Source organism: Homo sapiens, chromosome 14 (genome assembly GCF_000001405.40).
Source record: "Homo sapiens chromosome 14, GRCh38.p14 Primary Assembly".
Classification (NCBI taxonomy): Eukaryota; Metazoa; Chordata; class Mammalia; order Primates; family Hominidae; genus Homo; species Homo sapiens.
In genome coordinates this window covers 91622920-91635009 of record NC_000014.9, presented here as the reverse complement: position 1 = coordinate 91635009, position 12090 = coordinate 91622920, and the positions used below count along the sequence as shown (strand labels likewise).

General features: G+C 38.3%; 1 protein-coding gene across 1 annotated transcript in view; it reads left to right on the top strand.

Annotated features, from left to right (window-relative positions):
- The window catches only part of CATSPERB (catsper channel auxiliary subunit beta), a 151389-nt gene that overhangs the window by 97077 nt on the left and 42222 nt on the right, over positions 1-12090 (top strand). Inside the window, exon 18 of the mRNA NM_024764.4 lies at positions 10003-10190. Coding sequence (NP_079040.2) covers positions 10003-10190 — 188 coding nt within the window. The remainder of the gene's footprint in view (positions 1-10002; positions 10191-12090) is intronic.

Here is a 12090-nt window from a genome sequence, read left to right as displayed (position 1 = left end):
CTCACCAGATACCAAATCTGCTGGCACCTTGATCTCAGACTTTCCAGCCTCTAGAGCTGTGAGAAATAAATTTCTGCTGTTTATAGGCTACCTGGTTTATGGTATTTTATTATGGCAGCCCAGATAGACTAAGATATTAACCTTGTCTCCAAGTGGTGGACTCTATTCTTATACCAGGTTGGAATCTGTATATTATATGTGTTTGGGGCTGTCAATACATATCTTGTCCCACAGCTAACAATACCTTGCACCGTGAGGCAGTTTTTGCAGCTTTTGCTGCAAAAGACATTATTTCATTGTTTTGTATGGCTGAGTAGTATTCCATGGTGTGTGTGTGTGTATGTATATATATATATATCACATTTTTTAAATCCACTCATCAGTTTATGGCACTTGGGTTGATTCCATATCTTTGCAAATGTGAATTATGCTACAATAAGCATATGTATTCAGATGTCTTGTTTTATATAATGACTTCTTTTCCTTTGGGTAGATAACCAGTAGTGGGATTGCTGGATCTAATGGTAAATCTCTTTTTAGTTCTTTGAGAAATTTCCATACTGTATAAATATTTTTAAGTAGATAATCTTATTACCTGCCAGTACAATTGATCCTTGAACAACATGGGTTTGAACTGTGCAGGTCCACTTATACATGGAAATTTTTCTGCCTCTGCCACCCCTGAGTCAGTAAGGCCTCCTCAGCCTAATCAAGAAGATGACTAGGATGAAGATCTTTATGATGATCCATTCCACTTAAGAAATAATAAATATATTTTCCCTTTCTTACGATTTTCTTAATAACATTTTTTCCCGTAGCTTACTTTATTGTAAGAATACAGCATGTAAGACATATAACATACAAAATATGTGTTAATCAACTGTTTATGTTATTGGTAAGACTTCCAGTCAACAATAGCCTACTTGTAGTTAAATTTGGGGGGAATTAAAAGTAATATGTGAATTTTCATCTGCACAGGAGGTTGGCATCCCTAACCTCTGCATTGTTCAAGGGTCAACTATAATTTTTTTTGTTTTTTCCTTAATGTTTCTTAGCATATTATAGCTTTTTCCTGTTATAGTGTCTAGGACCTCCAATACTTTGTTAAATAGAAGATAATGGAATTATTGTTGTTCCTGACACTCTCTCTCTCTTTTTCTTTTTCTCTCTCTCTCTCTATATATATATATTTAAGCATTTCATAGTTTTCTTAAACCCTTTATCATTTAAATAAATTTATCTATTTTTCTAGTTTAAGAGATTTAGAGTTTGGGTTTTAAATTAATATTTCTCGTGTATCTATTGAGCTTATCTATAGAATTTTTTCCTTTAACTTTTTATTTAACGTTGTAAATTATATTGTGGATTTAATGTTGAACCAACCTTAAAGTCCTGGAATATACCTATCTTTGACATTGTATATTACCTGTTTTCATACATTTCTGGACTCGGTTTGCTAATATTTAAGATTTAAACATCTATGTTCATGTAGGAAGTTTACCTGTAATTTTTCTTTCTCATATTGCCCTTCTGTGGTTCTGTTAACAAGATTGTACTAGCCTCATAGACAATTGTTTTCTTTTTTTTTTAATTTTCTGGAAGAGTTTAAGACTGGAATATTTTGTTCCTTGAAAATTTGTTTTTTGAAATTGTTTGAAACTTACTTTATGGCCTAGGACTAGGCCATTCATTATGGTCAATTTCAGTAAATATTTTGTATGGGAGGCAAAATTTTACATTTATCCTCTTAGGGTGTTTTGGCTGGGCCTGAGAATTAAACTGACATAAGACAGATTAACAGGAGAAAAGCATACACATTTACTTAATGTAAGTTTTGTGTAACATAGGAGTCCTCCTGAAGAAATGAAGACCCCTGAAGAAGCAGTTAGAGTTGAACATGTATATACTGGGTTGAACAAAAAGTAGTAAGTTGTGAAAATGTGACAAGGCAAGGGGGCTTGGGCTAGGGTAGTTAACTGTGGAGAAGTGGCTAGGAAGATAAGGGTTAGTTTAACAAGGTCTGTTTGTACAAATTTCTCTTGGCTTTGGCTCCCCATCTCTAGTAATAAAAACAATGTCCTTCTCCAGGTGCAAGGAGGACACCTTCCACATGGGAGTTTTATCTCCTGCCTTTAGGTAGGTCACAGTGTCCTTTCTGCATTTGCTGGTGTGTATGTGTGTGTGTGTGTGTGTTTTAAGTGACTTTAACTCAATCAGTGGGCTAGAGCAGATATTTTGGGGTGTTCTGAATGCTTTCCTATTTAATGCAGTATTAATATTTATTTGTTAGATTAATCCTGTTCCTTGTGATATTGCAATTTTCTGTATCCTTAATGATTTGTTTCTGCTTGATCTATCAATTATTGAGAAAGCTGTATTAAACTTTCCTACTGTGTATACTGGATTTGTCCATTTTAAAATTATAGTTGTGTCAATTTTGCCTTGTATATTTTGAGATTGTTATTAGGTACATATAAGTTTAGAATTGTTACATCTTCATGATCAGTTGAACATTTTGTTGGTATTTAGTGACTATTTTTATCATTATAATGCTTTTTTGCATGACCGTGGCTTTTTTATTATGCTTTTTTTAACCATTTTAAGATGTACCATTCTGTAGCATTAAATTCATTCAAATCCTTTGCCCATTTTTAAATCAGGGGTTTTTTGTTATGAGTTTCAATGTTTTGTTTTTGTTTGTAGCTTTTTTTGTTATTGATACATGGCATCAGCCTTCTTTGGATAATATTTTCGTGGTATACTATTTCAATCCTTTAACTTTCACCTGCTTTGTATATCTGTCATAAAAGACATAAATGAATTTTGTGGTTTTAGCCAATTTAACAATTTCTGTCCTTTAGTTGGAGAGTTTAGTTCAACTACATTTATTATTTTTACTAATATATTTGTCTTCATTCCTACCATCTTCTTTTGTACTTTCTATTTGTCCCACCTTTTTCTATGTTTCATTTTTGTCTTCTCTTCTTGCTTACCTTATTTTAAGGTTCTTTTTTCTCCTCTTTCCATTCTTTTCTTCTTCTACTTGATTGGGACTTTTACACCCTGTTTTATTTTGCTTTTTCATGTTATCCAAGATTTTTACTGTGTGTTAACTTAAAAAGTCTAAAGTTACTTAATAACTTTATCTCTTTCCCATTCCATATGTAATCATTAAACTCTGGGTGTCTAGTCAGTATCTACCCTTTATATTTCTCAAGAATGAGTCCAATTCTGGTCCCTCGGTTCCTCAAACCTCAGAAGAAATATTACAGTTTCTGAAGTGGTCCCCTTGAAGAAATCCCTCTTGGCCTTTTTATTATTATTATTATTTTTGTTTGTTTTTTGAGATGGAGTTTTGTTCTTGTTGCCCAGGCTGGAGTCCAATGGCGCGATCTCAGCTCACTGCAACCTCCGCCTCCTGGGTTCAAGCGATTCTCCTGCCTCAGCTTCCCAAGTAGCTGGGATTACAGACGCCCACCACCACGCCTGACTAATTTTTTGTATATTTAGTAGAGACGGGGTTTCACCATGTTGACCAGGCTGGTCTTGAACTTCTGACCTCAGGTGATCCACCCGCCTCGGCCTCCCAAAGTGCTGGGATTACAGGCATGAGCCATTGCACCCGGCCCTGAATCTTCACAAAATCTTAATAGTGATAACTTAATGTCCATGTTTTTACTAAATTGCTCAGAAGGAATGTATCATCAACACACAAAGGTTTCAGTAAAGCTCTTCATTCATTCAATGAATATTTGAGTGCCTATTACATATCAAGTCTTGTGCTAGGCACTGGGAATATAGTGGTAAACAAGATAGACAAGACTCTTCCCTGCATGGAGATGACATTCTAATAAACAGATACAGGTGATAAACAGGTAAACCAAAACAAATTCATATCTAACATGTGCTTTGAAGAAAGTAAATATGGTGACAGAGGGAGTAAGAAGGGTAAGCAAAGACCCAAGAATGAAGAGCAAAGAGCCAATGAAAGAGCTTTCCAGGCTAAAGAAGTTGCATACAGTGAGGCAAGAAAAATTGGGATGTGTTTAATAAACATGAAGAAAGCCAGTATAGATGATGCACAGTGATGGTGTCGTGGAAAGGCCAGCAAGGAGGTCAGCTAGTGCCAGATCATAGACGGTATTATAGGATGCAGGAAGAGTGTAAATTTTCTTCTTGGTGTCAGCAGAAACCATTGGAGAATGTTATTGGATTATTTTTAAATAATCCAATTTACATTTTTGAAAGGATCACTCTGATTGCTGTGAAAAGTGTGGGACAGGGTGTGAGTAGAAGCTGCCAAGCCCCTTAGAAAGTTATTAAAGTAATACAGGTGACAGATTATGGTGCTGGAGCAGGTGCAGTTGAGTGAAGACAGGATCTGATGATGCATTTGCCTGTTAGGGATATGAGCAAGAAAGTGATCAAAAATTGTCTAGGTTTGTGGTTTGTAGCTAGAAGGACGCTACCGCCATTTTCCGAGACGAAAAGTGCAGGTATCAGGCAGGGTAATTCAGAGTTCCACATTGGAAATGTTCAGTTTGAAATGTGTGCTAGGTATCTAAGTGAAGATGTGAAGTTGGCAGTTAGATGTATGAATTCATAGCTCAGAAAAGTCAGAGTGGAAACTTGGCATTTGGCAATTGTTCAGATACAGATGGGTGATTCTACCTGCAGAGGAGGGTGTATGTAGAGAAGAAAAGCCCTGGGGTGCTCCAGGAAGAGAGCCTGGGCTAAGAAGAAGGCCCTAGCAAAGAAGGATGAGAAGGAGCAGCCAGTAAGGTAGAAAAAACACAGGAAAATGTGGGGCCATATAAACCAAGAGAAGAGGGTGTTTAGAAAGTATGGAGTGATCAACTGTGATGCATGCTGCAGAGACTTGAGTAAAATAAGAATAAAGATGTGACCTTTGAATTTGGCACCATTCTAGGCTGTAGTAACCTTGATGAAAACAGTTTCATTGGCATGGAGTGGAAGGGATCAGCTGGGCTGGGGAAATGGCACAGGCATTGGAATGGGAGCTTAGAATGCATAGGTAGCTTAGTTTGATGATATTTGTCTTTTTGCAGTGTTTTCTCCACTCAACAGTTGTTCCTCTCCACCTCTAAAATTCACTGATTCATTCTCCATTGCACAAATCCCCTTTCCTTCTCTTTTAAAGGCTGATTTCTCTCCTCTTCTGGAACAGCAGTGCTTAATCACCCCCCATGTGCAATAGTAGGAAGAAGTGGGGAGACAGCTTTCATAATTAAGGTAGCTGCCTGACCATTGGCCATTGACTTCAGATACAAAGAGGTTAACTTTTTAAAATTAATTAATAAACTTTTTAAATTAATTACAGTTTTACAGCAAAATTGAGCAGAAAATAGAGTTCCTATATACCTCTGTCCCATACACACACGAAACCTTCCCCACTATCCACATCCCACACCAAAGTGGTACATTTGTTACAGCTCATGAACCTACATTGACACATCATTTATCACCCAGCGTACGTACCTACATTAGGACTTACTCTTAGTGTTGCAAATTCAATGGGTTTGAACAAATGTATAATGATAAGTATTCATCATCACAATATCATACAGAAGAGTTTCACTGCCCTAAAAATTCTCTATGCTTTGCCTCTTCAACTCTCTCTTCCCCTCACCCCTGGCAACCACCGATCTTTTTGCTGTCTCCATAATTTTGCCTTTTCCAGAATGTCATATAGTTTGAATCATACCGTATATAGCCTTTTCAGAGGCTTCTTGTACTTAGTAATATGCATCTAAATTTCCTCCATGTCTTTTCATGGCTTGATAGCTCATTTCTTTTTTAGTGCTGAATCATATAATATTCCATCATCTGAGTATCCCGCAGTTTATTTATTCATTTACCTACTGAAGAACATCTTGGTTGCTTCCAAGTTTTAGCAATTATAAATAAAGCTTCTGTAAACACCTATTTGCAGGTTTTGTATAGATATAAGTTTTCGACTCATTTGGGTAAATACCAAGGCATTTTGCTTGATTGTATGCTAAGAGTATGTTTAGTTTTGTAAAAAATGACTGAACTGTCCTCCAGACTGGCTGTATCATTTCCATTTCTATCAACAATGAACGAGAGTTCCTATTATTCACATACTCACCAGTATTTGGGTTGTCAGTGTTTTGGATTTCTGCCATTCTAATAGTCATGTGGTGGTATCTCATTGTTAATTTGCATTTCCCTGATGACATATGCAGTAGTCTGTTTTCACACTGCTATAAAGAAATACCTGAAACTGGGTAATTTATAAAGGAAAGAGGTTTAATTGACTCACAGTTCTGCATGGCTGGGGAGGCCATGGTGGAAGATGAAGGGGAAGCAAGGCACGTCTTACATGGCGGCAGGAGAAAGAGACAGTGCAGGGGAAACTGCCATTTTTAAAACCATCAGATCTCATGAGAACTCCCTCACTGTTATGAGAACAGCATGGGGAAAACCGCCCCCATGATCCAACCACCTCCCACCAGGTCCCTCCCTTGACACGTGGGGATTACAATTCAAGATGAGATTTGGGTGGGGACATTGAGCCAAACCATATCAGTATATGATGTAGAACATTTTTTGCTATAGTTACCTGCCATCTGCATATATTCTTTGGTGAGGTATCTGTTAAGGTCTTTGGCCCATTTTTTAAATCAGGTTGTACACTTTCTTATTGTTATATTATTAGAGATTTTTGTATTGTAGGAGATCAGATTATGCCAACCCAGAACCATGCAGTGGTGTGTGCCTGTAGGTGCAGCTACTACAGAGTCTGAGGCAGGAGGATCTCAAGTTCAAGCCTAGTCTGGGCAAAATAGTGAGACCTCCAATTTCCAAACAAAACAAAACAAAAAAACAAAGAATATGCCACTTTGGCATAAAGATTATTTGAGCTGAAGGAAATTAAGGAAAAACAAGCACAAGAAAAACTCTTTGCCCCCTCCCACCAGAAAGGGCAGAATGATTCTTAATCACTGAAGATAACTCTAGACTATATAAATATATATTTTTTTCTTTTTAGAGACAGATTCTCACTCTGTTACCCAGGCTGGAGTGCAGTGGTGCAATCATAGCTCACTGCAGCCTCGAACTCCTGGGCTCAAGCAATCCTCCTGCCTCAGCCTCCCATGTAGCTGGGACTACAGGCATGTGCCACCACACCCAGCTAGTTTATTTTATTTTTAAATGTTTTTAGAGGCAAGATCTCACTATGTTGCATCCAAGCTGGTCTCCAACTCCTGGCCTCAAGCAACCCTCCTGCCTCAGGCTTTCCTCCAGAGTAGCTGGGATTACAGGCACAAGCAACTCTAGACTATTAATAAACCCAGAGACACAAAGAATTTACAGAAGAAACCTTCTCAAAACAACCCTTATCTTCCATTAGTTCCCTCCATTTATTTACCTTCCACAGTTTGCTGACCCTAAAAACCTAAGCCCATTTTTCTTTGTCTTGTCACTTCTCTAAAAATTTGTTATGAAGCCCCATGTTCTAACTACCCTTTTTAGCTACTCATCACTGCTGTTTTTCCTGCATGTAAGCACAATGCACATGTTAATAAATTCCACCTGTTTTTCTCTTGTTAATCTGTATTTGTCAGTATAATTGTCAGGGTCTCAGTTACAGAACCAAGGAGAATAGAGGAAAAAGAGGTTTCTTCTCCCTTCCCCTACAGTTTATTTTGGATAACAGTCCTTTATATGTCTTTTGAAAATATTTTCTCCTAGTATGTGGCTTGTCTTCTAATTCTCTTGACAGGATATTTCAGAGTGTAAGTTTGTAATTTTAGTAAGGTACCAATTACTAATGAGAGATACATGCAAACCATAGCATGTATTTTTAACACAAATTCAGTGTTCACTGCTTAACACTGTCATTTAAAAATCTTTACTAATTGGTTAAAAATTGTATCCCATTGTTGTAATTGCAATTTCTTCTATTACAAATGAGGTCGACCAAATGTTAATCAAATGTTTGTTAGCTATTTTTGGTATATTTTGTTTATAAACTATTTGTTCATAAATTGGTTCATGTAATCCACTGTTTTATCCAAATTACTTAATGGTTTTACTTGTGTTTAGGAAAACTGGAGAGAAATTTATCAATTTTCTCTTTCATGGATTGTGTCTTTGGTGTTGTATTCAACAGTCATTGCATGAAGATGGTAAATTTTGTTAGGTGTATCTTCTTAGTCTGTTTCATGCTGCTATAATAGAATATCACAGACTGGGTAATGTATAAAGAAAAGAAATTTATTTCTTACAGTTCTGGAGGGTGGGAAATCCAAGACTGGGGGGCCCACATCTGGTGAGGGCCTCATGCTCCGTCATCCCATGGTGGAAGGCAGAAGGGTGAGCACATGTGAGCACGCATATGAAGCACTCATGTGCAAAAGAGAGAGAGAAAGACAGGGGGAGGGAAGGGACTGAATTCATTCTTTTATCAGGAACCCACTCACACAATAATTAACCCACTCCTGCAATAATGGCATTCATCCATTCGTGAGGGCAAAGCCTCATGATCTAATCACCCCTTAAAAGTCCCACCTCTCAGGTTGCAGTGAGCTGAGATGGCGCCACTGCACTCCAGGCTGGCGGCAGAGCAAGACTCTGTCTCAAAAAAAAAAAAAAAAAAAAAAAAGTCCCACCTCTCAACACTCTTGCATTGGAAATTGTGTTTTCAACACATGAACTTTGAGGAATACATTAAAACCATAGCATATATTTTAACATAATTTTTTTAATTGAGGGAAAAAAGTAATTGCCATACCCAAGGTCATCTAGATTTTCTCCTATGTTATCTTCTTAGGAGTTTTATAGTTTTACATTTTATATTTAAGTCTGTGGCCCATTTAGAGTTCTTTATTTTCTTTTTTGAGACAGGGTCTGGCTCTGTCACCCACGCTGGAGTGCAGTGGCACTATCTCAGCTCACTGCAACCTCCACCTCACAGGCTCAAGTGATCCCACTGCCTCAGCCTCCTGAGTAGCTGGGATTACAGGCATGTGCCACCATACCTGGTTAATTTTTGTATTTTTAGTAAAGATAGGGTTTCACCATGTTGCCTAGGCTGGTCTTGAACTCCTAGGCTCAACCAATCTGCCTGCCTCAGCTCCCAAAGTGCTGGGATTACCGGTGTGAGCCACTGCACCCGGCCTAGAGTTAATTTTTGTGATGATTGTAAGATCTGTGTCTAGATTGAATTTTTTGCATGTGGATATGCAAGGCTAACATTTTAGAAACAGATTGTTTTCCTGGTTATAAAGTTAATACATGCTCAGTATAGAAATTTCCTAAAAGGCAGAAAAATATTAAGATAATTGAAATTATGACTGTTAACACTTTGATGAACTGCCAATTAGTCCTTTTTATATGCATTTTAACATTTTTCCACTTGCTTTCTTCATTTGGACATTATAATATGATCATTTTCCCTACACTGTTAAAAACTCTTTCTAAACACCCTTTTAATCATTGCATTTTCTCTAAGTAAATCATGTAATATCATTCACTTAGTTTTTTTATTGACATTTCTCATTTCTAAATTTTACCCTAATGAATATATTTGTATAGAAAGCTTTCTCCCCCACCCCTCTGTTTCAAGTTCTTTCCTTAGGATAGAGCCATAATAATAGACATGGAATCAGAGCAGGGAAAAGGTTAGCACGCTCCTAATGCATAATGTCAAATTGCTTTCCAGGAAGCTAGTTCTAATTTACAATCCCATCAGTAGTGGATGAATGCCTATCTTCACTCAATTCCCACCACTACTGAACCCTGTCATTTAAAGATCTTCGCTAATTTTAGAGGTTAAAAATTGTATCCCATTGTTATAATTGCCATTTCATTGATTACTAATGGGGTTGAACAAATGTTAATCAAATATTTGTTAGTTATTTGTGGTATACTTTCTTTGTAAATTATTTGTTCATAAATTGGTTCATTTAATCCACTGTTTTATCCAAATTGCTTAATGGTTTTATTTGTTTTTAGGAAAACTGGAAGAGCTTACATAAGAAAGGTATTGCAACATACGACTCCTAAAGGATTTTTGTCCTCAGTTATTGCAGAAATGAAAGAGCCCTTTGGATTAGAAGAAGTGAATGAGAGCTCTTGTTTGTCTAGTTCCCTTTTGATTAATAAAGCTGGAAATGTCTATAAACTCACTCTTGATTCACAAGGTAGGTATAATAATATCATACATCTCTGATGGCTAGAAAAAAATGAAAAATTATCTTTTGTGAAGGCATTTTAATGCTTATTTATAGAGCAATAGATTTCAAATTTTAGTCCAACTGGCAACCTACCAAAGTTTACATATATTTGGGTTCCTGAAAGTTTTTTGTTTTTTTTTTTTTTGGCAATGGAGTCTCGCTCTATCGCCCAGGCTGGAGTGTAGTGACGCGATCTCGACTCACCGCAACCTCTGCCTCCCAGGTTCAAGCGATTCTCCTGCTTCAGCCTCCCGAGTAGCTGGGATTACAGGCATGTGCCACCACACCCAGCTAATTTTTGCTTTTTTGGAGTCTCGCACTGTCACCCAGCCTGGAGCGCAGTGGTGCAATCTCAGCTCACTGCAACCTCCGCCTCCTGGCTTCAAGCAATTCTCCTGCCTCAGCCTCCCGAGTAGCTGGGATTGCAGGCGCATGCTGCCACGCCCAGCTAATCTCTTTTGTATTTTAGTAGAGATGGGGTTTCACCATGTTGCCCAGGCTGCTCTCGAACTCCTGAGCTCAGGCAATCTGCCCACCTCAGCGTCTCAAAGTGCTAGGATTACAGGCATGAGCCACTGCACCCGGCCTAATTTTTGTCTTTTTAGGAGACGGGGTTTCACCTTGTTAGCCAGGCTGGTCTCAAACTCCTGACCTCGAGTGATCCGCCTGCCTCAGCTTCCCAAAGTGCTGGGATTATAGGCATTAGCCACCACACTCTGCCCAAGATTTTTTTTTCTAATATAATAAAATATAGCTATAACTTCATTGATATTTCATCAATAGTAGTGCCTATTATTTATTCCTATGAGATTATTTTGTCTTGAAGAGTGATCAGAAGAAATGAAAGAAAATGGGAAGTTCCTGCAGATTTTGCCTCACTTTAACAAAATAATTTTGAATCAATGTTCTATAGGATGTTTCTATCTCAAAGGATTATTGATTCACAGCAAAAGTTAGTACAGTTTATTCTAAGGGTTTAGGTTTTACTCTGACTAAACGGGAAGCCACTGGAGGGTTAAGCAGAAAGTGATATGATCTGACTTAGCTCTCAACAAGATCACTTTGGCTGCTGTGATGAGAACAGACTGGGCAGGTGATGGAGAGAAAGCAAGGAGGAAAGCAGAGAAGTCAGCTAGGAGGCCATTACAATAATCAAGTGAGAGATCATATTAAACTTAAAGATGCTTGTTACTCATCCAAGTGGAGAAATAAGATGGGCACTTAGAAATACAAGTCTGGAGTTCAGGGAAGATGGCTGGGCTAGAGACACAGATTTGAGGACTTTCAGCATATGTATGATAGTTAATGCTATAAGACCAAATGAGAACACCTGGAAAATGAGTGGTGTTATAGAAGGGAAGAGGCTTGAGGTCTAATCCAGGGCAATATCTAGTGTTCAGGGAGATGGAGGAGAATCATTAAAGGATATTGGGTGGCCTGGTCAGAGTAGAACTAAGAGTGTGTCAAACCAGGTGAGGAAGGTGTTTCAAGAAGGAGAGGCCCCTCTCCCGTGTTGCATAACGCCAATAGGTCTGGTAAGATAAGGAATGAAAATTGGCCAGTGGATCTGTGTGAAAGTCCTTGGGAACCCTGGCCGGGTATGGTGGCTCATGCCTGTAATCCCAGCACTTTGGGAGGCTGAGGCAGGTGGATCACCTGAGGTCAGGAGTTTGAGACCAGTCTGGCCAACATGGTGAAACCCCGTCTCTACTAAAAATACAAAAATTAGCTGGGCCTGGTGGCAGGTGCCTGTAATTCCAGCTACTTGGGAGGCTGAGGCAGGAGAATTGTTTGAACCCAGGAGGTGGAGGTTGCAGTGAGCCAAGATTGCGCCATTGCACTCCAGCCTGGGTGACAAGAGCGAAAC